This window comes from Homo sapiens, chromosome 9 (genome assembly GCF_000001405.40).
Source record: "Homo sapiens chromosome 9, GRCh38.p14 Primary Assembly".
In the NCBI taxonomy this organism is placed as follows: Eukaryota; Metazoa; Chordata; class Mammalia; order Primates; family Hominidae; genus Homo; species Homo sapiens.
The window spans coordinates 66,026,118-66,053,649 of record NC_000009.12 but is presented as its reverse complement, the minus strand read 5'-3'; the positions used below and the strand labels follow the sequence as shown (position 1 = coordinate 66,053,649).

The window sequence follows — 27,532 nt, the reverse complement described above, 5'->3', positions numbered from 1 at the left end:
AGGGAGAGGCAGGTGCATGCTGGGAGGTCGGACCCTGTGAGGGCTGTGGGGGCGTCAGGTGGGGTGGGCTCCAGGTGCACTCTCAGTGTGCACTGGGCAGGTCTCGGTCCAGGCTCTCTGGACCCTGGTCGGGTGATGTGGTCACTCCCTGGGGGACTGCTGTCAGGCCTAGCCACCCACCCTTGGCAGCACTGTCCCATCTCAGGACTGGACTTTCTCAGATCCTGCAGAGGGCACAGCCTCCAGCCCAGGAGGGGCAGCCCCTTGGTGCAGCCCAAGCTCTCCATGGGCCTGGAGCATCCCTGCCAGCCCTGCGCTCCCTCTACTCCCAGGTCCCGCTTTTCAAGTGTCAGCCAGCAGAGAGGCTCCGTCCTCCCTTCCCTATGTGTCTCCTGGGCTAAAACTTGGGGCGCATTGGGACAGGGATGGTGCTTTCCTCAGGCCCATTTAGGGAGGGGACTGGCTCCCAGCCTGGCACAGGTCCTCAGCTCTGCCTTGGTTGCCTTAGAGTGACATGGATCAGTCAGTGCCCTGAAGGTAAATGGAAGAGACTGTCCCTGCTGTGTGGGAGGCTGGTCTAGGGATGGAGGACTTGGCAGGTCCTCCCAGTCTGTCAGGCCTGGACAGCACTGTCCTGTCTCAGGACTCAGAAAATCCGGTCTTGGGATGGGACGGTGCTGCCCAGGGTGGGTGGCCAGGGCTTGACAGCAGTCCCCCAGGGAGTGACCACATCAGCCAACCAGGGTCCAGGGAGCCTGGCCTGAGACCCACCCAGTGCATTGAGGGTGCACCTGGAGCCCACCCCACCTGATGCCCCCACAGCCCTCGCAGGGTCTGACCTCCCAGCATGCACCTGCCTCTCCCTGCACCCCAGATGTCCACCCTGCCTTTTCCCTGATTTCCTCCATCCTGTCCAGCAGGATGGGCTGGTCAGTGGGATAGCCTCTGTGCACATTTTGTGGCAAGTAGGAGTGACACATCATTCCTGGGAGGCCCCGTGGTTCCTGCCAAACCCAACCCCAGAATTCTCCCTGAGGTGGTTTTACCAAACCCATAACCCAGAACTGCTATTGTGGTTTGGGGGTCAGCACCCACCAGTGCCAGGGCACTACTGGGAGGCTGGGACCTGACCAAAGCCCATGGTGTCTGTGGCCTGAGGACAGGGTGTCTTGGGGCCATGAGGACAGGCCACCAATGGCCGTTGGGTCATAGGGCCTGAGCCCCAGTGTTTGTCCTTCCCTGGCTCCTTCTGGTTCAGTCCCATCAGGGCTCTGGATCCCAAGACGCAGCATCCAAGGTTCCCTCCAGGAATCCTGGTGGCTCGGCTTACTTTGTCATGTTTCATCTGATAGCAAAAATATCAGATCGGCTGCACAGAAAAATGGCTCAAAGTGCTTAATGACCAGAAGAAATCTGGGAGTAGCAAGAAGGTAATGTGGAGAGGGGAGGACCTCCATGACTGGTGTCTGCAGAGCCAGGGGTACAGGGACCCAGTGCAGTGACCTGGCACCACCTGCCTCTCAGAGGGTGGGTAGCACACTGTCCTTACCTGGGGGACAGCAGGCCTGGTCACCGGCTTTTCTCCCTGTCCCTGCAAGCATCACATTGCTGGAAGAGAATCTCATGCCAGAGCTTGGACCATCCCTAGCTTGGGGGTTAGGGGTTGTCTCTTGGTGACCTAAATGAAAAAATAGGTCCAGATCAGAGTTCGTGATGCATAGCACTCACCCACTCTTTGAATCATGGGAGGGGAGGCCTAGTCCTAGGTAAACCTAAACTCTTTGAGGAACCACAGAGCCCAAGGCTGGAAACCTCCAGAATCCTCCAGCCCCTGATCCCCCCCCCCCCCGGGGACCTCTGTGGCCTGTCTCACCAGAGCACTCTTCTGTCTGTAGAGGTCTCAGGTGCTCTACAAGGGAGTCCCATTTCAGGTGTGGGGCTGGGTATGGTCACTCCTGCTGGATGTCTAGAAGGTGAAAACCAAGGACCTAGGAAAATACCAGATACAGCCTTTCCACCGTCATCCAGAGCAGGACAAACACGCCAGGTGGTGTCAGGAGCCCAGGTCTCCAGCTGGAGGGAATGTCAACCCTGCAGTGGGAGCCCATCATGCATCCTAGGCACAGATGCTAACGTAGGCACCGCAGGTAAGCTGGGTTTGGTACCCCTTCCTGGCTTCAGAAAGAAGCCAAACAAGGAGCTTTCTGCAGAATGAAACCTCTTTTCCATCCAGAAGCACTGCTGACTGTTTGGTGGTTGCTGTTAGGGCAGTGAGCCTTTTGTCCATTCTGAGATTAGGCTGGTTTCTCCTCTTGGCCCTGGCCTACAGACCATAAAGGAAAACAGCAAGAGGTCCCCAGCAAACATCTACAGATGGCCCTGGACATCAGCCACATTCAGAGAAACGTGTCATGTTCTGGGAGGGCTAAGGCATCGAGTAAGGCCTATGGGGCTGGAGGATCACAGGGCAGGTGGGGCAATCCAGAGCTGTGGGGGCTTCCATGGGAATTGGGAGGTCCCAAGGCAGAGGTAGGGGTTCCACAGGAGGAGTCACAGAGCCACCAAGGGCTCTCCTGGCCCAGGGAGCAGTCAACACCATGGACTGAACACCCACTGGGCTAAGCCCTGGGCCAGGCTGGGGCATGTGGGGCCAGGAGGCAGCTCAGAGTGGGAGACAGAGACAAGTGTGCTCAGAGGGCACCCATATCTGCATATAACGTGGTCCTGAATTTCTGGCTGGGAAGTGCTTCCAGGGTTTCATATGTGTTATGGAGATGCTTCCTCTCTCCAACCTCACCGTGCAGGAATCCCAGTGAATATATTGCCACCATCTTGGAGCTCAGTGCCCTCATAGTGTAACAGCACCAGCAGATCTGCCTGTGCACAGACTTCCTGTACTACCTCACTCCTGAGGGGAGATGCTTCTGCAGGGCCTGCGACCTGGTGCACAACTTTAGACACCATCATCCTGGAGCGGCACTGCACCCTCACTAGCCAGGGTGTTGATGACTTCCTCAATGCCAAGGCCACGTTCAAGATTTTCGACTTCAGTGATGCGTTTGTGCTGAGCAAGGTGGGCTTCTCCGGGATCTTAATTCAGGAGGTAGAATGCAGCTTGAGATCTAGTGTCTGATCAAAGAACTTGAACTTGACCTGGAGGGCTCTGGGGAGCCATGGAAGGTGCTGGATAAAGGAAGGGACAGTCATATATATTTTAGAGATGACTGTGGAAGGCTGCCTGGAAGGAGTGAACAAGAGCCAGGAGACCAGGGAGGGAGTTTGTGGGGCAGGTCTGCAGATGGCAAGGGAGGGATCCTGCTTGGATGAAAGGTCTTCAGGGACTGTCTCAGGTTACACTCAGGTGCCCTCAGAGCTACTGTGTTCAGGGTTCTTGTCTCCAGGATGAAAATAAGGAGGAGTTGTCAGACAAGGACATATACATGGAGGCTGGCATCTTCATGAGTGCCAATCGTGGTCCTGGTGTGGACTACTGTGGGAGCAGGGGTCTCTCCATCCAGGGACATGGTGGATGGACCCTACATCACTCCATTCTGCCCTTCCTTTCCCTCCCATTCTCCTGAGGGACTCAATGCATGGGCACTGTCCAACCTCTGGTGCTGAAGCAGCCAAGAGACCCAAGCCTGCCTTGCTGCCACTTAGGATATGACAGCACAGCCAGTGGCCTCTACTGGATCCTGGTACCCCTCAGAAGACACCCAGACACTGGGAGTGCTGCCACCTCGTGGTGCAAGAGTTCTGAGGGACGGCAATTCTGAAGACATTGAATGGTGGGTGCTGGGCCTCATGGCTGTTCCCCAGCCCCTCTCATTGGCTCTGCTCCAGGTGGAGAAGGGGGATGATGTCTCTGTCAGTTCTGCTGTTTTAGCCTAGAAGGAAAAGAAGCAGAGCCCAGAAGCAGGGCCTGGTACCCAGCCTGCCTAACAAGGGAGAATTTGTAGGCTTTGTGGACAGAAAGATCTGGGACTCCATGTCACCCACTAACTTGCTGAGACATTAGTAAAATCAGTTTTCTTTTCTGAACTATGTTTCTGTCATCTGTACATTGAGAGGAATTTCTTTTACTCCACGAGGCTGCTTGGAGAATTAGTGACAGTGTGTGTAGAGCATGTGCCACCCAGCAGGCATTTGGTGTCGAGACCACACCTCCTCCCCCTTCATTTTCAGCCTAAATTTGCATTTTGTTCTTAAGACTTTCACTCGCCTTAATTTTACTCTTTCCTCTGATTCCCACCTTATCGTCTATCCCATGGAGTCACTAGGATCTAAGTGGGTAACAGTCATGTATGCATGTATGTGTATGTACGTATATACTTTGTTGGTGTTGGAGTGTGGTGTGTGAATGTGTGTGTGTGTGTGTGTGTTGGAGTTACTGGGTGACTGAAACTGTACACATCAGGCTGTGGTTCTGCCCATTGCTGGAAGCGCTGTCAGGGGTCCTGCCCTCAACCCCAGGTCTGACCCTTGCAGCGCAGGCAGGACATTCTGGAGGAATCATGCCCTTGGGAGGATCCCTGAGGAGTGACTGGTGGGTATTGGTGGATAAATACCCCTGGTCCCTTGCTCTGGGTATGATGACTCTGAAGCACATGTTCTGTGCTGTCTCTCAGAGGTACCTGGCAGGGCTGAGTCCTGGCTGCCACAGTGGAAACTTTCTTGATGAAGGTCCCTTTAACTGCTGCATTCCTTTCCTGTCTCAGTTCCCCACTCCTCCACTGATGTTTCCTGGGATTAGCACCCTAAGGAAGAACTGGCAGTCGAATTAATATCCTAGCGTTATCTCCAAACAAAATTTTTGTATTTGAATCTTTGCCTCAGGATCTACTTCCAGGAAATTCAGACTAAGACACACATTTTTCTTTTGGCTCCTTGAATCCCCATAGGCCTGACATTTTGCTGTTTTTATCAAAAAGGAACATGAGGATCAGAGAGGGAAAGTCACTTGCCCAAAGTCACCCAGCTGAACAGTGGTAGAGTTCAACTTTGATCATGAGATGTCTGGCCCCCAGGTGGAGGCTTGCTCCTCTCCCATGAGACTCCTTCCTTATCAGGGTCAAATGAATGAATGGAGGATGTTAAAAGTGGGGTCTCTGATGCCTTTGCCAGATAAACCCCAGGCTCATGGCTGGCGCCTGTTTTCTCATTCTTACCTCATTAAGAGTAGTAATGAAAAACATGCTCAGTGCTGACCGTGTGCCTGGGGGTGTTGTAGGCACTCCACTTACTTTAATTCATTTAATTTTCACAATAACCTTGTTTTTACTTCTAGTTGTTATATGAAAAAACTGAGGCAAAGAGCAATACAGAGAGTTGCAAAAATTCATACCGCTGGTCCAGGTTTGAACCAAACAGTCTGCACCTGGAGTCCTTGTTTGTAACCATGGCACCCTGTCTTCACACATATCTCATCGTGGAGTTCCATCTTGTGTTAGGCATGGCACTGAGCAGCTTCTTTTAAGAACATAATTTGTAGCCAGGCGCAGTGGCTTATGCCTGTAATCCCAGCACTTTGGGAGGCCGAGGCGGGCAGATCACGAGGTCAGGAGATCCAGACCATCCTGGCTAACTTGGTGAAACCCCGTCTCTAATAAAAACACAAAAAATTAGCTGGGCATGATGATTGGCGCCTATAGTCCCAGCTACTTGGGAGGCTGAGGCAGGAGACTGGCATGAACCCGGGAGGTGGAACTTGCAGTGAGCCGAGATGGCGCGACTGCACTCCAGCCTGGGCGAGAGAGCAAGACTCCATCTAAAAAAAAAGAAAAAAACATGATTTGTAATTATGTAAATTACTAATTCTACTTCAAAGTGCCACACAGCCTTCATGTGATAAAATGAAGCAATTGGTAAGTCTAAGCATTGAGAAAAAACATTATTTTTCCCAGCTCCATTGCAACAGTTGGGACAGTGTTTTCTCTGTGCCTATAGAAACCTCAGCTAGTGTGCCGAGGAGTCTGGTCCCTTTGGGGAATGTGGCAGTCAGGTTCTGGCAGGGACCTCGAAGTGGCTGGTAATGTCTTTCATTACCACCACCACGTGACCTGGTCTTACGACCTGTTAGCTTCCTTCATCAGGCATGAGCACCAGGATGGCAGGGGCCTCATCTGTCCTGTTCCTCCTGTGGCCTGGGTCCTAGCACCATGTCTGGTACAGTGTAGGTGCTCAAGGGAAGTTTACTTTATAGAACTGTCTACCTGGGAGATGTTGCTGTTAGTCTAACCTGTACCATTTTGTAAACCTGCAGCCGTTTTGCACACCCTGGTCAGAATGAAACATTCCTTGGGAACTCGGGCCGTGAGAAGCATCCTTCCTGATCACCTGACTGTAGAAACATCCTTATCGCACCCTCCCGGGCAAAGGCCCAACAGCCTGACTGCAGGAACATCCTTGCCATATCCTGCCGGGCAGCAAGCTCTACCGCCCACACCCCTCCTTCCCAGTCCCATGATCACCCCAGCCTGTGAGAGGCAGTTGGTGCTGGCAGTAAGCTGGTTTCCTCCTCTGCAGGGTTTTGCTAGTAATAAAGGTGTTGCTGTTGAAGCCGTCAACTGTCTTTCTCTGTCTTTCTTTAACCCTTGCCTTGCCTTCAAAATCTAACAATAGCTCTACCTCTCCATTTTACCAAGGAGGATATGAGACTCAAGGAGAGCAAGAGACTTACCCAGAATTACAGAGCCAGTGAGTCACAGAACTTGAACTTGAGCTCAGTTCAGCTGAATCCAGAACTCATGTCTTCCTGAGAGTCCAGGGAAGGAAAGGTGGAACTGCAGCCAGTGGGTGCCCACAGGCTTGTCCTAGGAGACCACATGCAGCCTCCTGGGAATTGTGTCCTCTTGGGCACAAAAGAAGAACTGTTCACCTGTGCTGCATCAGCTAAGTGTCCCCATTGTCCCAAATTGTTATATTTTTTCACAGTTTCATTTTAGTAACTAGATTTCTCACAGCTCAGTGTTGAAAACAAAGCACAGAGGCATATAGAAAGCCGTGTTTGGGTTTTTCTCATTTTTTTCCCAGTGACTATACAAATGAATGTACAAAAGAGCACAAATACGCTCATACTTTTTATATAGAGATGAGGCCCCCCCCACTCATATTCCTCTGCCACTACCCTTCCTTTTTTTTTTTTTTTTTCTTTTCATGGGAGGACCTGTCTTTCAATACTAGTCCATGTGATTTGGGAAGGCTGACCCACCCTGGGCAATCAGATCAGCAGGGTAATTGATTCAGGAGTGGTCATGTGATCCAAGCTGGGCTCATGGAAGTCATCCCTGAACTTCTGATGAAACTGCTGGGAATGAGGTGCTTTCTTTTTATTGGCATATCTATTTGTAAGGAAGTAAGTGATGTGAACTTTATGGGGCCATTTTTGCTGCTCTCTCAAAACAGCTTGCCTGAAAAGCAGAGCTGACACAGGAAATGAAGGGACAGAATGAGCCTTGGTTGATATTAGTTGACCCCTGATCCCACTGAGACAGAAGCCCATCTACTCATGTACATTTTTAGTAAGTAAAGCCAAATAATTCAATGTTCTGCTGGATCCAGTTAGGTTTCAGTCACTTGCAGTCAAGAGAGTCCTGCATAATAGCACTTTCTGTGATGCTTAGGTCCCACCTGCCAGAGCTTTAGAACTGTAGAAGGGTAAAGTGAACCCAGGCAGTGCTGAGCTAGCCAATCTCCTGGCTAAGTGTGCAAAGGAACCCTGGAGTCACTACCACTTTGGTCTGAAAAATAGCCTTGCCTGCTGCTTACCATACAGCCATAGGGGTATTGCTTCCCTGAGCCTGTAGGCATTATACCTCTTTTTAAAAATGATGTTTATTTAAGAAAATGTTTTGTGTAGATGGTGTCTTGCTATGTTGCCCAGGCTTGTCTTGAATTCCTGGCCTAAAGTGCCGAGATTATAGGCATGAGCCACTTTGGCCAGCAGTATACTTCTATTAGTTGTCAATGCTTTTTTGTTCTGTAGTTTCTAGTGTGTGCTTGAGGATGCGTGTGTATGTGTGAGTTTATGTGTGTGTATGTATGCGTGAGAGTGTGTGTGTGAGTTTGTGTGTGTGTGTGTGTGTGTGAGTTTTTACCTTTATCTTGCAGGGTTATTGCAAGCATCAAGTGGGATCCCGTAGGCGCAGTACTCAGTCCAGTGACTGGCACATACAGTGAGCTCTCTCTGTTCTCTTTTCTCCTCCTGATTCAGAGAATGACTTAAGGATCTGTGACGTGTGCCAGTTTTCAACGCCCTGCATAAATAATGGGGAGTACTGTTGCCATAACTTTGCACTAGTTTTAATTCATTTTATCTGTTTAGCATGAGATACCTCAAAGTCCCTGAATAAATTTATGTCATATATATATATATATATACACACACACACACACATAAGTATGTTTCTTGAGAGCTGACAAGCTTAGTTTTGGTTCCCTGATGCTGCAGTAGAGGCCACTGTGTTCTGATTTTTGAGTGATGGCTGCCAGCTCTCCAAGTGTCAGTCAGTGAGGCATCCATGGGGGCAAGCGCCAAGGATGAGTGTGGCCAGTCAGCATCTGCAAGCCCGTTTTGTCTATCCTCTTTATTTTTATAATATGTTTTATTCATTTTTTAGGTTTATCATTTAATCTGTTGTAAACTTCTCTCCTAAAATGTTTCTTAGTTCTACTAGGGGTTAGTTTCATGAAACAAGTCCAGAAATAGTCCACGGCAGCCAGGGATACACAACATGCCATTGGGGAGGGAGAAATCTTGTAGATTGAAGGTTTTGTTGTAGGGACAATCTTTCCAATGGTCTTCAAGTTGCTAAACCCAACTCAGGGCATTTCATCCTATTTCCAGAGAGCAGCAAGCAGAGAAAGCAAAGGGAAATTGGTCAACAAAAAAGAGGAACAATAACTCTCCCCTTTCCAAACAGATTTTCAGAAATCCAAAGCAGTGAATTCTGCATTTCACATTGGCCAGGACTATAAGATTCGCTCACTACAGTTACGAGAAAAACTGGGAAACTCATTTAAAGACGTTAACCAGGGCCAGGCATGGTGGCTCATGCCTGTAATTCCAGCAATTTGGGAGGCCAAGGTGGGAGAATCACTTGAGCACAGGAATTTGAAACCAGTCCAGGCAACATAACGAGACCCAGTCTCTACAAAAACAAAACAAAACAAAAGCTGGGTGTGGCAGTGCACACCTGTTATGCCTGCAGTCCTACCTACTCAGGAGTCTGAGCTGGGAGATCACATGAGCCCAGGAGTTCAAGACTGCAGTGAGCTCTGATCATGCCACTGTACTCCAGCCTGGGAGACAGAGTGAGACCATTTTTCAAAAAAAAAAGTTATAAAATAATAAAATATGCATAAATAAATAAATAAATAAAGACATTTAAACAGTGCTCCTTGGAAAAAGTGAATCTATGTTCCCTTAGTGAAGAAGATGAGAATAATGGATATAGCAGGGAAATGGACAGCATTGGCCACATTAGACCAAAATGAAAGTCATAACAGGTACCCCAAATCAGTACCATTAAAACCACATAATGTGACCATAATGCAGTCAAATTGTGACCAACAAAAAACAAACTGACAAAAAAGGTATCATGGAGCATACGAATTCTAAATCTAAATTGAATGGAGCTCAGAAGGGCTTCCCACTGAAAATGAAACCATGTGTATGTAAATGAATTGTAACAAAGCTACTACATAGCAACATTAAGGTGGCAGAGCGGAAAGGTTGCTAAGACAGATATCTGTCATCTTGTACCATTTTTTAAGAAAGGAAAAACTACAAAATTATGAATTTGAGTTCTAATTGAGGGATAAGACAATGATAAAGTCAATAATTGTTAACGTTTACTGTGCTTCAGTCCTACCCTGTGCTCATTCATGCCCAATAAGTGAAGAGCTGGAACTGAAAGCTTTCTTATATTTATTCAATTGTAGTCTCCCTCCAGGGTGTGGAATCATGTATAAAGGAGGGATAGTGTTTAAAGAGGTATTTTCTGCATTTTTTACTTCCATAAGCAGTCTCTGCTGTGTGAGTTCTTGTATGAACTATGAGTCTGAGACAACACTGAGGCTTTTTTCATATTCCTTACTTTCATAGCTTCTCTCCAGTGTGAGAACAAATATCTACTCACGATGAATGAAGATGAAAGGCTTTCCATAGACTTTACCTTCAGAGGGTTTCTTTTCACACTTCTGTAAGATAGGAGAGTTCAGGAAAGATGTTCTCATGCATGTTAACTCATTGAGCTCCCTTCCAGTATGTCCTCCTCACATGTTCAGTACGGTGAAAAATTAATGATGATTTCCCTGCCACTCACAGGGCTTCTCACTATTGTGAATCTTAAGATGGCTTTTAATTCTGGTGACTTTGCAAAGTCTTTTTCACATTTATCACATTTATAGGGTTTCTTCCAGTGTGACTCCTTATATGTGCATGTTTTGAGCCTTGCTGAAGGCTTTCCCACATTCCTTACATCCATAGGGCTTCTCCAGAATGTTCTTTCTTAAATATTTATTAAGGTGTAGGGAATATCTAAAGCCTTTCTCACTTTTGTTACATTCATAAGGTTTCTCTCCAGTGTGAAGTTTCATATGTCTCATAAGAAATGACTGATAACGTAAAGGCTTTCCTTCATTTGGGACATGTATGGCTTTTCTCTCCAGTAGTACTACTCCTGTGTGGACCAGAATTTGGAGCAGGACAGAGGTTTTTCCACTTTGATGATTCTTATTCTTCATCTCTACAGAACAGAACTGCATCTGGACAGCATGGACTGAGTTATTTCTGAAGATGTTTTCACATTGAGTAAAATTATACATTTTCTCCCTAACATGAGTTATGTGTGCCCTAAGGCACATGTCTTCACTACAGGCTGATTCAAATGGACTCCACTCATGAATGTTTGTCCTTGTATTAATTTTACTATGTATATGATGGACATTGTTCTGACTGCCTGTCCATGTGTTTGATTTTAGCTGTTTTTCTCCCATATGAAACCCAGTGAATGTTGCACTTCAAGACTATCATGTTGATTGTTTTCATATATATTACTTTATTGCAATAGTTTTTGGGAAACAGGTGGTTTTTGGTTACATGGAAAAGTTATTTAGTGGTGATTTCTGAGATTTTGGTGTACGCATTACTCAAGTAGTGTACATTGTACCCAATGTGTAGTCTTTTATCCCTCACCCCCCTAACCTTCCCTCTGAGTCCCCAAAGTCTATTAAATCATTCTTATGCCTTCACTCTCTCATAGCTTAGCTCCCACTTATAAGTGAGAACATACAATATTTGTTTTTTATTCCTGAGTTACTTCACTTACAATAATCATCTCTAACTCCATCCAGGTTGCTGCAAGTGTCATTATTTGATTCATTTTTAGGGCTGAGTAGTATTCCATGGTGTATCTATAACACATTTTCTTTGTCCACTCATTGGCTGATAGACATTTAACCTTGTTACACATTTTTGCAACTGTGAGTTGTGCTGCTATGAATGTGCATACATGTGTCTTTTTCATATGACTTCTTTTCCTCTAGGTGGATACCCAGGAGTGAGCTGATACTAATTTAAATAGAGATAATTATAAAATAAAGTAATGACCAAGTGAAAATTACCATTTCTAGTAGTAAAACAAGATACCTTTATTGAGTAAAGCTTGAACATATTTCTGCCCACATAAAGGACATATAACTTTTGTATTTTGTATAAATGATATGCTTTATCTCACTAGACTCATCCTATGGTTAATTGGTGGGGGATGGTTGGAGAAAGTAACATATCTTTAAATTTAGCTTCTTGATTCACATTTTTCTTCAAGTTTCAATAGCTCTCTTTTAGTTAAATGCCTCCAGGAAGATGTTCAGATGCTTTGGGCTTTCTGTGGCCTCAAGGCAAAGGGAAAGTGAATCTGAAGTCTCTTATTGTCTTCATGCTGTTCTCTAGACCTCTGCTTTCTCTGTGGCAGAGGGTCTCTCTGGTCTGATCGCTGGGGCCATTGCATTGCTATTCTCTGAGGTGAAGCTTGTACTCTCGCATCAGAGTACAGTGGAATTCTCTTGCTTTATTAGCCTCCTGTTGGCTTGGATAAGATCTTCAGATCTCTGTGAGTTTCAGCATCCTTCTTCCACAGTATGTCTGGAATGGTCACATGGGACTTTTTGGCAGGATCATTTTGCCCCTTGGTGCAGTGGCCCCATGTTATGTATGTTAGTTTTCAACTCAGTTAAGTTGCTTCTTATTTACCTCTATGACACTTCCACATTGCATAGATTCATAGGTCTAGTAGGAGGTTTTTTATATAAACCAAGCTGCCAGGAACAGAAGAATGCTCGCACAGTAAGTCAGACAAACCAAATTTATTACTCACAGAGGAGCAGGAAGAATCAGCAAAACCGTTAAGTTCTATGGCAAGCCTGACCCTTGAGGTCAGAAAAGTTGCCCAGGGTTGGTGGAGTCTCCTCTGCACATGCCCCACTGTGTACTGCGCTGAGGAACCCCTGAGTGCTCCGCCCTAGGTTTCACACCCCACGTGCACCTTGGCTCTCTGAGTTTAAGGGCTGCAGTAATATCCTGTCCTAGGAACAACAAGGACAGAGCCCAGACTGTCCCAGACGGTTTCTACTCATCTCAGGATATTGTCTTCTTGGAACATTCTAAAGTTATTCTGAGAACTAGGAGGTACAGAAAGCTGAGTTGGTCAAGGCCATTCAGGTCTTGTCCTCCTGACCACAGAAACAAAGTAGACTATAAAACAATAAGCATTGGCAGAAGTAATCATATTGCATTATGATAGCCATTCTTCATTATGATAAAAAGAATTTATCCTCCAAAAAGTTATCTGAGTTCTAAATCTGAATGAACCCAGCAAAACATAGATTTGGGACTGTTGTTACAGTTTAATAAAATATATACTAAACCAATAAATTTAATTAAATACATAAACTCTAGAAGTATAAAAATCATAAAGGCTCATTTCAGTAAAGGTTGGCATACAAAGTTATCAGATGTATGACAGAGTAATAGAAAATGTTGACACTGCTTAGGGCAAAGTGAATATGATTGATATTCAGATGAACAAAGAAGATAGTAAACTCAATAGAAAAATGGGCCAAAAAATTCAATACATTGTTAACAATCTGACAAATGCAAATGTACACAAATAAAATGAGATCTGTATTTTCACCACTTGCTTAGAAAATATAAGAATCCTAGATAACATTGAGTGATGAGGATATGAGGAAAACAAGCTTTATGGGCAATGGATGGAAAATTAAATGGTTTTAACCATTTCAGAAAATAACATGACAGGACCCATTTGAAAGTATGCATACTCTACAACCTGTCTCGATGATGGGTACATATCCCTGATATAATTTGGATGTGTGTCCCCTCCAAATCTCATGCTAAAATATGATCCCCAATGTTGGAGGTGGGGCCCAGTGAGAGGTATTGGATCATGGGGTGGATGCCTTATGAATAGCTTAGCACAGGAATGTCCAACCTTTTGGCTTCCCTGGACAGCATTGGAAGAAGAATTTTCTTGAGCCACACATAAAATACACTAAAAATAGCTGATGAGCTAAAATAAATACATAAATAAATAAAAATAAAAAAAACCACACACACACACAAACACACACACACACACACACATACACAAACTCTCTTTTAACAAAGTTGACAAATTTGGGCCACATTCAAAGCTGTCCTGACCTGCATTCAGCCCACAAGCTGTGGGTTAGACAAGCTTGGTTTAGCACAATCCACTTGAGTGAGTTCTTCTCAGTGAGTTCATAGAGATCTGATTGTTAGAAACAGCCTGGGACTGCCCCCTTCTCTCTCTTACTCCCTCTCTGACCATGTGACACACTGGCTCCCCTTCACCTTCTGCCATGATTGTAAGCTTCTTGAGGCCTCACCCAGAGCAGATAGCATTGCTTCCTGTGCAGTCTGCAGAACCCCGAACCAAGATAAACCTCTTTTATTAAAAAATAAATAAATAAATTACCCAGCATTGGGTATGTCTTCATAGCAATATAAAGAGACTAACATAGCCCCTGACAAATTGTAACACATGACCAAAAAGTGTTTTCATAAGGATACCATAAGGAAGTGAATATTTCAGTAGCAGGATATCAGTGTGAATTCTACTGCAAGACTGGATAGGGAAAATGTGGTTGATTCATTTTATTGAAAACTATGCAGCAGCTACAGGGGAATAAACAACCAAAAATAACCTACAGCAATGTGGGAATGTATGAAGGATGTTATGCTCTGTGAAAAAATTAGAAATAAAATTAGATTTATAGCACAATACTCTTTAAGCAAAATGTATACACTCACGTATATACACATACACACACTCAGAAAACAACCTTCTTATCTTGTAAGAATTCTTTAAGAGTAAAGAACCTATATCAAACACATTAGCATGCCTGTCTGTGACAAGGGATAAGGAATAAAAAAATGAAACAAGTAAAACCAGAGAAACTTGTAGGAAACAATAATGATAATGTCTCATGAAGTAAAGAATGTGATTAATTTTTTGCAACTGTGGTATAAAAACAGATTGTCAAAATCAAATGTAATGAGCTTTAGCATAGAGCTTATTGTAGGGAAAAAATCAAATTTAAATACTTAGTTTATATAGTTTGATGCAGGAATGGTCTCCTATGTGAAGTAGTAAGATACACTAAACAATCCATGGGTGTATGGGAAGAAAATACTCAAAATGCTACTTACATTTATTTTTTACTCATTTTTCCAACAGTTTAATATCTAAATGCTAGGGGAGGCCAGATGTGATGACTCCCTGTCATTACACCTGTAATCCCAGTGCTTGGTTGGAGAGGGTGGGGGTCAAGGCAGGAAGAACACTTGAGGCCAAGAGTTCTAGACCAGCCTGGGAAACCTAGTCGGTTTTTGTGTCCACACACAAAAAAATTAAAAATTAGCCAAGCATGATGTCATGCACCTGTAGTTCCATGTACTGGAGAGGCTGAAGCAGGAGGATCACCTGAGGGAGGAGTTTGAGGCTGCAGTGAGCAATGATTATTCCACTGCACCATAGCCTGGGTGACAGAATGAGACCCTGTCTCTTAAGTGGAAATAAGTAAGTGCGAGGAGAACACGTGATCTTTCTAGTTTTCAGTCCCTCTTGCAGTTCCCTGTAGATTATTTTGCTTATTCCCAATGTTCCAGCTGTCTGCACATTGTAGGCTTGTTCTTCTACCTACTCAAGGCCCCAGATCCAGCAAATGTCCTCAGAGATGGGCTCTGCTGCTAATCTGTGATCACCAAGGAAGGGCTTGTTTTTCTCTGAAATTTAGTTCATTGACACTTTAGACCCACAATTTTTTGATGGCTTTAAACAAAAAAAAAATAATTTTTTAAAGTTCATCCGATATTTTCTCATTATGGCAGGAGCAATTGTCTTTGGTAACTTTATTTTAATTGGAAGAAGAATTTCTAACATTGGCATTGTAATGAGGTTTTTGGTCTTTGACCCTAGTGGAGCAATTAAATCCACGTCTATTTCTTCTGTTATGCATGTATTGAAGGATCAAATGAGAAAATATATGTAGAGTGCACAAAGTGTCTAATGTACACTAGTGATATACAGTTGTATTATGACTACACACCGAAAACACATAATCAACCAGATTGCTTCCTGAGAACTAGAGCCAGGCTTTTCCAATGATACTTAACTGTCAAATAATTCTATTCAATTTTTCATGGGACTTAGGGTTTGGTCCATGAAGTGCTGCCACAGTATGCAAATCAATTATATCAATAAATGTGCTAATTTATTCAGCAAACGTATTCTTGTAGCAATAGTTACTCAATGAAAGAAGTAACATATTTAATTTCTAGTAGAAGCTACTTCTCTCATTGTGAACTCGGTACAAAGCTTGAATGCTCTAGCTATTTTGAGGAGCATTAATAAGCATTACCTAAAGAAGATGATATATTCCCTAGACAACAAGAACTCTTATTTCTCTTTATCTTCTTTTTGATAAATGCTACAGTCTCTTGGTAGTGAATCCAGATTCTGTGGTGTGGGGAAAAGAAAGAGAGATCAGACTGTTACTGTGTCTATGTAGAAAGAAGTAGACATAAGAGACTCCATTTTGTTCTGTACTAAGAAAAATTCTTCTGCCTTGAGATGCTGTTAATCTGTAACCCTACCCCCAACCCTGTGCTGGCAGAGACATGCACTGTGTTGACTCAAGGTTTAATGGATTTAGGGCTATGCAGGATGTGCTTTGTTAAACAAGTGCTTGAAGGCAGTTTGCTTGTTAAAAGTCATCACCACTCTCTAATCTCAAGTACCCAGGGACACAATACACTACACACTACGGAAGGCTGCAGGGACCTCTGCCTAGGAAAGCCAGGTATTGTCCAAGGTTTCTCCCCAAGTGATAGTCTGAGATATGGCCTTGTGGGAAGGGAAAGACCTGACCATCCCCCAGCCAGACACCCATAAAGGGTCTGTGCTGAGGAGGATTAGTAAAAGAGGAAGGCCTCTTTGCAGTTGAGATAAGAGGAAGGCATCTGTCTCCTGCTCGTCCCTGGGCAATGGAATGTCTCGGTGTAAAACCGGATTGTATGTTCCATCAACTGAGATAAGGAGAAAACTGCCTTAAGGCTGGAGGTGAGACATGCTGGCTGCAATACTGCCCTTTAATGCACCGAGATGTTTATGTATGTGCACCTCAAAGCACAGCACCTTTTCTAACCTTGTTTATGGCACACAGACATTTGTTCACATGTTTTCCTGCTGACCCTCTCCCCACTATTACCCTATTGCCCTGCCACATCCCCCTCTCTGAGATGGTAGAGATAATGATCAATAAATACTGAGGGAACTCAGAGACTGGTGCCAGCGTGGATCCTCCATATGCTGAGTGCCGGTACCCTGGGCCCATGTTTCTTTCTCTATACTTTGTCTCTGTGTCTCTTTCTTTTCTCAGTCTCTCATCCCACCCAATGAGAAACACCCACAGGTGTGGAGGGGCAGGTCACCCCTTCATGTGGGATGTACAAAACAATCCTCCACAAATTTAAATTTATGCCTATGATCATGTGTAATGAAATTAGCCCTCAAGAGCCAACTTGAGACCATGTTCAGAATGAAAGCTTCAGAAACCCATGGCAAACACATGAATATAAGGCCATTTTAGACACAGTCCCCAGATTACCTCTGAATTCAGTGGGGAAAAAGTGACAAGGAGCAATATTTAGGGCATCTAGGATAGTGCTACCTTCTCATCCCTAACATAAGCCAAATTAAAACTTCATACTAATGCTCTGAAGCCTAATAATAACTAGTAAGGTTTATGTCTGTCAAAAAGCCACTGCAGGCTACTGTTAAAACCAGCTACACAACCATCTGGAAGACATTTGCCTCCTTCTGGTTAAAAACAGTCCCATGTCTACTGATGATGTAGTTAAGGTTGTATCAAGATCTTCTATCTCTCAGCAGGGATGTGGTTTCCCAAATGCTAATATTTGACCAACAAAAGTTTTGCAGCCAGAGTTTGTGCAAGTATTGGTAGATAGAAAATACAAAATCCAACCATTTCTCATGAATGATTAAACAAAAAAAAGAATGCAAGAAGCCTGTGTGCATGTGCGTGGGTATATATGCATGTGTGTGTGTGTATTCAGGTTTGTTAACTTTATTAACTTTGTTTAAAATTTAATTTAAAAATTAGATTGGGGAGTAAATATCATTCTTCCTCTCTCATCATAAAACTTTTGGCTCACGGGATTCTGACATTCCATCATGCTTGGAAAAGTTGGATTTATGAAACCAGTTGCTGGACTGAGCCTGCCTATGCAGCTCTTACATGGGTGCTCCCTATTTTGTGCACAAGCATCCTCAAGAGACCAAAGATAGTGATTGAGAGAGACGGGCTCTGAAGTCTTTTTATTTCAACTTCTTGGAATCACCACCTTGTTAATGAACATCAAAATCTTTTGTGTCATTTATCAGATTAATTACTTTTTCCATAAAAAGAGTGAGTTGAGAGGATAACAAGAAACTCCCTGTCCCTGCTTCATCCTGAAAACAGGAGAATCAATATCTTAACTCTGTTTTTGAGAGATGAATGGGTAGGTCAACATTGCTTGGCTATTTGTCCTTCCATTTGGGACAGATTACCACTGCACTTTCCCCTCAATCTCTAGAATCATGGCTTATAGAAAACAATTTTGTACTGAATTACTAAATGCATCAAAACTTTATTAGACTTATTATCAAAGAGCATGCTCAGATGTATCTATTATAAATAGTAATAAAAATATAAAAACCTAAAAACAATATTATAAATAACAGAGAAAAGCTATGCACTGTTATGAAAGCCTTTCATATTTAGGGATATCAGGTAAGGTTTCCCTTGGTGGGGAAGATGAAGAGCAAACTAAAATAAGAGTAAGAGCTGGCTGGGTGTGGTGGCTTACACCTGTAATCCCAGCACTTTGGGAGGCTGAGGCAGGTGAATCACGAGGTCAGGAGATCGAGACCATCCTGGCTAACACTGTGAAACCCTGTCTCTACTAAAAATACAAAAAAAAAAAAAAAAAATTAGCCAGGTGAGGTGGCAGGCGCCTGTAGTCCCAGCTACTCTGGAGGCTAAGGCAGGAGAATGGCATGAACCTGGGAGGTGGAGCTTGTAGTGAGCTGAGATCACACCACTGCACTCCAGCCTGGGCAACAGAGCAAGACTCCATCTCAAAAAAAACAAACAAAAAAACCCAGTAAGAGCTAATTATATAAATCTGGGATGGTAGTGGGAAAAGCATATGAGTAAGAAGACCAAAGTCCAGGAGACAAGAAGAAATACATCTGAATCATTTAGTTCAACAATGTTCATGCCACAAGAGGGGGGAAAGAGAAAGGAAACAAATTTTGTACTGCTTGAACCCATTTTTGGACTCTTGCTATTTATCCTAGTACTAATGTGAAGTCTTTGGGAGTTTTTAAGCAAAGCAATTTACAATGCAAATTGTATTTACATTTCAAGTAATCATTCCAGATATAGCACAGAACCATTTTTGGAGAGAGAATCAGGGAGAGCACTTTAGAGGTGTGCACCATAGCCCAGGTGAGAGAGTGATGGGCTGGAATCCATGATGGCAATGAAGATAGAAAGAGAAAAATTCATTCAAGAAATAGAGAGAAGGTAAAATCTGACAATACTTGGTGATTTGAAATGGAAATGTGAAGAAGAAAATGTCAAAAATTAATTGAGATGTCAGGTGTAGGTAGAAGTTGACATCATTTGCTGCAAAAAAAAAAAAAAAAAACACACAAGAAGAATACCACTTTTAGTGAAAGAGACATCTAGGTTGCTTAAAGTATGAAACAGGACTTTTCCAATTTCATGCAGGTAAATTAGGAGGGCTCAACCTTGAAGCACAAAAGATGGTGATTATGGTAACACTGGCCTTGAGACCAGGACCTGTATCAGACTCTAGAAAGATCAGTGTGATTTGGAGCTGCTACAGACTGGAATATTTCAGTGAAAAACAAAACAAAACAAAGCATTCACTCTTATTCTTGCAGTCTTGTTTTATTTGAAGGAGTAAATAATTGGGCCTTATTCAGAGCTGCAAGTTTTGGTAAGCCCTAAAATGAACAAAAAATTGTATAAAATGGAAACAATTCACCAATTCTATTCACTTAACATTTTCTGATTTTCTTCCAGGTTTAAGTATTATGATAGGCATTGTACAGTAATTACTTTATTGACCATCTTCTCTGGTGTTTGTATTAATACACAAAGAAATCTAACTTTAAAATTGTAGCATTGCTTTCAGCTGACACCAATCATTACCCGTTATCCCAATTCATTAAATCAGATTGTTTCAGCAATAAGTTACATTTTGAAGTTAACGAAATACTTAAAAGGCTGTGATGTTGTAGCTGCAGATGTAGTATGCAAAACACATTTGATTCATGTCGTTCAGCACAATTTCATCTTAAAATCTTATCTACAAAACATTTTTACACATCTATTATTCTCTTGCTTTATGTAAAGTTTATGTCATTTATCTCTATCAAATTAAGTTACATTTCTAGTTTTTCTCAACCATAAAAGACAGCATTAATTTTTACAAACATTAATGATGAACTATATTCACTCATAACTATTTATGTCTAAGTCATCTTAGATTTACTGAACAATTTCTGAGTAACTAATGGCTAGCCTTTTATTATTCTATGATGATAAACATTTTTACAGTATCCAGGCTTCAGACATATTTTTGAAAACATTTCTATATGGGTCAAAATTTAAATCAGTTGTAATATGTGATCCACTCAAATATATTCTCCAGGATGCGCTATTAAAATGAAATACCGAGGTGGTTCCCCAAGACACCAATTTAAAGTGTATATGTGCAGTGCAGGGTTACTGGACCAAGGCACAGTGTAAACAGTGAAATTTTATTTTTTGTTTTCTTTTTCCTAAGATGTTTCTTATTCCCCATTATATAAAAATATGTATTACAGGCAAAGAAAAATTAACACGAATATAAGTAAATATAAAGTATATTCACATTAATATCAGCTTTGCTTTATCTATTAAAGGATGTAACACACTTGTGGTTTTCAGGACCTTGTAACTCCTGGTTCATTGGAAAGCATAGAAATTCTTCAGAGCCTCAAGAGTTGTGTTTAACACATTATTTAAATAGTGTCCAACCACTAGTTAGATAGCTTAGCACTCAAATAGCCTTTGAAATCTCTGTAGACTCACCTCAATTGAGGAGTCCTGATAATTTACAGAAGTGTGTAGTGCACTAAGAGATCCCTGATGGATAATGTCTTTGCCTGTGGAGTGTTTTATGTGTTGATCCACTGGAGTGTGTGTGTGTGTGTGTGTCTGTGTGTAGGTGGGTGAGTATGGGTGGGTGTGGATTGTGTGTGTGTGTATGTGTTTACACTGTGGTATGTGTCTGTTGGGGTGCCACCATTTGGGATTTGGAAAAGTGAGGACCATAAACTTGTCAACATTCCTACATGCCTGCTTCATAAGAAGTGTACTGAACATGGCCAAAAGTAACTAAACCAAGTAAACAAATTAGACATTAATTAAATTTAATGCTGGGCGGGAAAGAAGTATTCAAGGCCAGGTAAAATGAAGAAATATAACCAAATGAATGAAATTTTTAGATTGATTCATAGAATGAGACAGGAATATTTTTTAAAATTTGTAGTTTCTAATGAATAACAGCATATAAAATAAGAATCATATGGCTGTCAATTGACTAAAAACTGTACATAAGATTTGAGCTAGTGAAACAACCATATATGATCTTCTAATTCCACTTTTCTATCTCAAGAATGACTTGTTAAAATGATTTTTTTTTTGAAATTTTACATTCTCATCTTGAAAGAGCTTCACAAAACTTACATGAGAATCTGGATTGTCATAAGAGGTCTGATTTTTTAATGGTATGTTTGTATTTTTGTTATGTACATCAATGTCAAGCATTCGTTTCCTGAGCTGTTCTCTACAACACAATTTAACTTGTAATGGACACTCAGTAAATGGTCGGTTGGATATTCAAATCAACACCTTAGTTCCATCAATTTTCACTTCATATAAAAATGCCTGATCTTCTATACTCATCAATGAAACAGAGAGAGATGAAGGAGGGAGAGCAGTTGAGACTGAGAGGATGACAAGCAGACCTCATTCTGCAGTGGATTTCCTACACTCTCCACTTCTGAATGCTTGGAAACACTTGCCATGCTCAAAAAATATTGGTATTTCCTAGGCAGCAAATGGGAGTTAAAGAAAGTCCATATTTCTATATTACAATAACTTACACTATAATACACAGATGGCATACATTTCTAAGCTATTTCAGTTCACAGAAAATGTAGATAAATTTAGGTGAGCAAGATGTAAGAGAAGGGTTAGTAATCAAGCTGAGTGTGATTGTGAGATTAAATCTAATATTATCTTATACAATTATTGTATAATTGTATCAGTTGACATATCTGTTGAAACAGAAGGTGGGAGAGTTTTGCATGCGCTTCCGAAATGTACTGGATGATGTTAGGAGAGAGGCGGGTCAACGTGGCTAGGCCATAAGTGTTTACTAATTGAGGCTTAGGAAAGTTAAGCTCCTAACCAGAGACTGGGAGATAGAGGCGCTAAAGTGTATAACATTTATATTTAATATATAATTAATAATACATAATAAAGTCTTAAAATGCCAGTTTTAAGTCTTTTCATTTTCTTCTTAAAAAACAGAGGTTTTATTGCGTTTGGTCCACAGTCGGTATTTCACATTATCTCATAGCGCAGGGCGCCTGGGTGGAGGGCTCTGTGCAGTACTTGGCGTGGCCTGGAGCCGGGAGAGATAGAGCAGTAGACCTGGTCAGGCCCGGAAGGGGAGAAGGAGGGCCGGGGCTCCTTAAGACCTACTGAGGGCCTGGGCGCGGTGGCTCTCGCCTGTCATCCCAACACTTTGGGAGGACGAAACAGGCGGATCACATGAGGGAAAGAGTTCCCGACCAGCCTGGCCAACATGGTGAAATCCCGTCTCTACTAAAAATACAAAAAATTAGGTAGGCGTGGTGGTGGGCGCCTGTAGTCTCAGCTACTCTGGAGGCTGAGGCAGGAGAATCGCTTAAGCTGGGAGGCTGAGGTGCAGTGAGGCGAGATTACTCCACTGTGCTTCAGCCTGGGCGACAGAGTGAGACTGCATCTCAAAAAAAACAAAAACAAAAACAAACAAAAAACCCTACTGAGGGCCACGGGGGTGGGGGAGCTAGGATGGAGAGGGGTCAGACTTAATCCTGGCAACTCAGAATTCCACTAACTTGTACGGGTCTCAGTTTCCTCACCGGGCCCCAGCATAGGTCTGAGGGTCTGAGGTCTGTCGGTCTGAGGGTCCTAGGGAAATCCAGCCACTCAGGAGCCTGAGATATTTTAGCATCATGGCTGGGCCCCCTCTCCCAGGGGACTCATTTCCCAGCACCCTCTCCACTGTCTCCGCCCCATTCCTCGGAGAAGAAAAAAATTTTCTTTCTTTTGTTAATACTTCCTGAAACTTTTGCAGGTACAGAAACCACAAACTGATCGGCTGACAAAAAGGGGAAGAGGAGAGGCAACCAGAAACCTTCGGGGACTGGTTCCCTCCATGCCCAGGTCTCTTCTCCCCAGCACAGCTCAGCCCACAGCCTGGAAGTGCCAGCGGGGACCTTCACCCTACACGCATCAGGATACGGCCTTGATCCCTTCCCCCACAGCCCGGTGTCTCAGTCCTGCCAAGGAACCAAAGCAAGGGGAGGTGGGGAAAAAACCCTGCTGCCTGATCCCACGCTGCCACTCACAGACCCTCGGTTGACTGGCAGCACTGAACAGGTTAAAAAAAAAAAAGATGAAAACACAGAAAAACCCAACACCCAGACGGGGAGACCATGTGTGGAGAGAGCGTGCTGGGAGCCTCAGTAGCCGGTCTCCTCCTGGTAGTAAGGGGCCTCCCCTGGCCCTGGGCAGTTGCCGGCGGAGGGAGCCCCGTGGGCCACTGGGCCACCTGGCTAGTACTTGGGTTCGTATATTTGCCGGCCTAGGCCAAAGACCTGGCCGCTGTGATTGGCAACCTGCGTGTAGCCCATCTTCAGGGACATGGAGGAGTTCTCACACTTGTCGATTCCCAACTTGGTGTCATAGATGTGCCGCTGGGTCCCGGGAGCCGTCATGCCCACCTGGCTGGCGCACTTGTTTGTACCCATCTGGAGGCTGATGGTCGAATTGTCCATGGGGGGCAGGATGCGGTTCTTGGGGTCGTAGAGATGCCTCCTCGTGCCATATGCGGTCATGCCTGACTGGCTGGCACATTTGTTGGTAATCTGCAGCCGGATGACGCACTGGCTGGCCTTCATGGTGGTGTCGTCGAAGTTCTGCTTCTCTGAGTACTTGTCACGGATGTCCACCCCGCTCCGCAGCCCCTTAGTCTTGGCCTTCCCTGCCAGGGCGAGAAGAGACACCCGCACCTGCATATTGTTCCCACTCTCAAACAGGTCGTTGGCCTCAAATAGGTCCACGGGATCATGCCGTAGCTGACCATTGCCTTGAGGAAGTTGGAGAGGTTTTCTAGCTAGTGCCAGTTCTACACGGAAGCCGTTGATCTTGGGGACTGAGCCCGGCTGCAGTTTGTTCACGAGTGTGCATAAAATAATCCCGTCCTTCAGGCCCTTCTGGAAGTCGGGGCGGATGGAGAGGCCAGTGAATCCCTTGATCCAGCTGCGGAGCTCTGCCTCCTTCTGGGAGTCATATTTGGGCAGAAGCCTGTTCTGGACGTCCGCCAAGAGCCTGTAGGAGGGGCCCTTGTTGAACTGCGTGGAGCTTATGGCTGGAGGGCGCCGCCGCGGGGCGGATCCGACAGGACCAGCGGCTAAGTCTTTTTTCTAGTTCGCAATGTTTTGTTTTCACCACACCATTGTTTTACTACATATTTTATTGTATGTGTATTGTGTTAAATATACATTTTGTGTATTTAAAAATGTGTGGAAAATGTTAGACCATCTCCCTTTTTTCCACCTTCCCTTTTACCCTTTACTGCCATTTACATCCACACATCCACACACACATACATCCACACATCCACACACACATACATCCACACACACACATACTGACCAAAATTAATTTCGATATACGAATGGGTTATTTGAAGCGAAAAGTCAATCTATATTAGTAAAAGTGTCATGCCAGTATGAATTATATTTATAATCCTTTCAAGAAGAAAGAACTTGCGGCGGGGCGCTGTGGCTCACGCCTGTAATCCCAGCACTTTGGGAGGCCGAGGCGGGCTGATCATGAGGTCAGGAATTCAAGACCAGTCTGGCCAAGATGGTGAAACTTCGTCTCTACTAAAAATACAAAAAAATTAGCTGGGCGTGGTGGCGGGCGCCTGTAATCCCAGCTACTCGGGAGGCTGAAGAAGAGAATTCCTTAAACCCGGGAGGCGGAGGTTGCAGTGAGCCAAGATTGTGCCACTGCACTCTAGCCTGGGCGACAGAGCAAGACTCCGTCTCAAACCAAAAAAAAAAAAAAAGAAAAAGAAAAAGAAAAAAGAAAGAACTTCCTTAATGTTTTGAAGAGACTATTCTGTATCCATTTTATAATTTTGTGGCCACTGAAAAAGGTATATTAAATCACAGACACAGTGAATGTAGTAAGTGGTAGTTTAAAATGTTAAAATGTTAAATCACGCCTGTACTCCCAGCACTTTGGGAGGCTGAGGGGGGAGGATCGCCTGAGGTTGGCAGTTCAAGACCAGCCTGGCCAACATGGTGAAACCCCTTCTCTACTAAAAATACAAAAATTAGCCAGGTATGGTGGCACAAATCTGTAATCCCAGCTACTCGGGAGGCTGAGGCAGGAGAATGGCTTGAACCCTGGAGGGGGAGGTTGCAGTGAGCTGAGATCAAGCCACTGCACTCCAGCCTGGACAACACAGTGAAACTGTCTCAAAAATAAAATAAAGTGTTGAATTTTTACAAGTCGTTGTTCCTATTCTAATTTTTGAATGCAACCACAGCCTCTAACAAAACAGCCTCGTTACACTAATTCGCTGATAATGAATTCTTAAGTAAAAGGGGAATTCCATAGAAATATATATGGCTCTTTTATGTTTAAGAAAAGTAAGAGCCTGAAAAACAGATGTGTTCTGTAAAACTGAATTACTTTCTATCCAGTTCCACTGGTTCCACTGTTTTATATCTTTATATTAAAACATATATAAATGATTGATTGATGATTTTTTTTCTTTTAGACGCTGCTGCTGAATCCATGGAGAGAAAAAGGATAAATTTCCAGAACTATGGTCCCTGTGCTCCAGTTCGTCAGGCGGGCGCGGCGGAGACGGAGACCGAGGAACGCCGCTGGGGCCATGCGGCGCTACCGCGCGTGGTGGCTCTGTGTCTGGCCTGAGGCTTCTGCTCGCTCCTTTACGCCTTCAGCCAGCTCCCCGTGTCCCCGGAGGAAGGAGCGGGCCGTGGTGGCGGGAAGCCGCAGGCCGCAGTGGCTTCCTGGCTGGCGGGAGGCGGATGCGGTGCGGTGAGAGGCGCGAGCAGCGCTTGTCCCGCTGCTCATCCCCGCAGGTGGGACAGGTGTAGTCTGAAAATACAGCCTGTTGAGAAAATGTATCTAGGTGAAAGACTGGAAGAAACTATGACCATGTTGAAGTCAGCTATTATTTTCAGGATCAAACCTCTTCAATTCCAGATTTTTGCTGAAGATCAACTACATCATAGCTTTAAAGGAAGGCTTGACAGGGGTCATTTCTACAAATATTTAATTATACAATATACTCCATAACCTTTCCAAGTGAGAATGCAGCAGAGTGGAAAAACTCTTTAAACCATGTGGTTTGCAGAGATTGTCCTTGCCGTTATTCCTGAAAGAAGTTGACTCTCACACTGATAGCCTTTTTAAAAGACCAGCTGATAATATTTGGTCTTTACTAAAGAAATTTAATTCCACACAAATTCTGCAATGGCCCCAGAACACAAGGAATGTCAAATAGGATGGTATAGTCGCTGTGCTAGGCATCCATAGTGTGGAAAAGCTGGAGTAAACTCTGGAGTTATGTTGACAAACATGACTTGAATGAGAAGGAAGTATTTCAAGAATAATATGACAACTGTGTGACTACAATGAGGAGATATACTTATGACATGGCTTAAAATATACAAGTTAAACATTACATGGGCGATCAAGATCTGTTGGATATCCTGTTTTTTCATAATCCAGAAAGCCTTTTTGTCTTTCCGTGTCAATGGAAGTGTCGTCCAGATCACTGTCTATATGGAAGCAGTTGCCAAGAAGCAGAAGAAGGAATCTTTATTTTTCACGGGAACAGAGGTGTTTACCATGATGATAAGCAACCAGCATTTAGAGCTGTTTATGAAGCACTGAGAAATTGTTCTTTTAAGATGACAATGTTCATTCATTAATAAAACCTTTAGAATTGGAACTACAAAAAATAGTGCATACATATCGTGGAAAAATTTACTAAATATTTATCAAACAATTAGCAAAAACATAAGAGATCGCTATGTCAGATCACCAAAGGAAAGGTGATTCTTGTTGCCTGCTACATCAAATGGATGAAAAGAACAAAGCATTGGAGGATAAGTATGAAGGAACTGTCTTGGGTGAAGCATTAAGGCAGGAATTATTCATCTACAGAATTTTTTTTTTCCTGAAGAGGTTAAATGAGCAGTATTTTCAGGTAATGAAGAATAAGTTAAAATCTTGGGCTTCAACAAAGAAAAATTTTTGGCCTCTGATGTTGTGTAATGTTACTTACTATCATTCCAGTATTGATGAAAATATTATTGAATGGTTTTAGCCTGCAAACTTCTGTTGACTCATACTCTCAAGAGTGGTGGGGCTGTGAAAATGAAGAAAATGTACCTCAAACACAGTGCAAACACTCAGATGGTGAGTAGAGCGATAATTTTATGTCAGCACTAACCTCACTTTAAAT

The 27,532-nt window shown here is 43.6% G+C and overlaps 1 long non-coding RNA gene and 4 pseudogenes across 1 annotated transcript; 3 read left to right on the top strand and 2 right to left on the bottom strand.

Annotated features, from left to right (window-relative positions):
* Positions 1-915: 915 nt before the first annotated feature.
* Positions 916-6,565, top strand: LOC105379252 (family with sequence similarity 95 member B1-like). Its single transcript, NR_136310.1, has 5 exons — positions 916-1,430; positions 1,896-2,147; positions 2,234-2,437; positions 2,805-3,073; positions 6,263-6,565. It is a non-coding gene; the product is annotated as a family with sequence similarity 95 member B1-like (long non-coding RNA).
* Positions 2,791-3,073, top strand: CYP4F59P (cytochrome P450 family 4 subfamily F member 59, pseudogene; annotated as a pseudogene).
* Positions 10,321-11,029, bottom strand: LOC100132599 (zinc finger protein 114 pseudogene; annotated as a pseudogene).
* LOC392334 (calponin 2 pseudogene) lies at positions 23,284-24,424 on the bottom strand (annotated as a pseudogene).
* Positions 25,866-27,320, top strand: GXYLT1P4 (GXYLT1 pseudogene 4; annotated as a pseudogene).
* Positions 27,321-27,532: the final 212 nt, after the last annotated feature.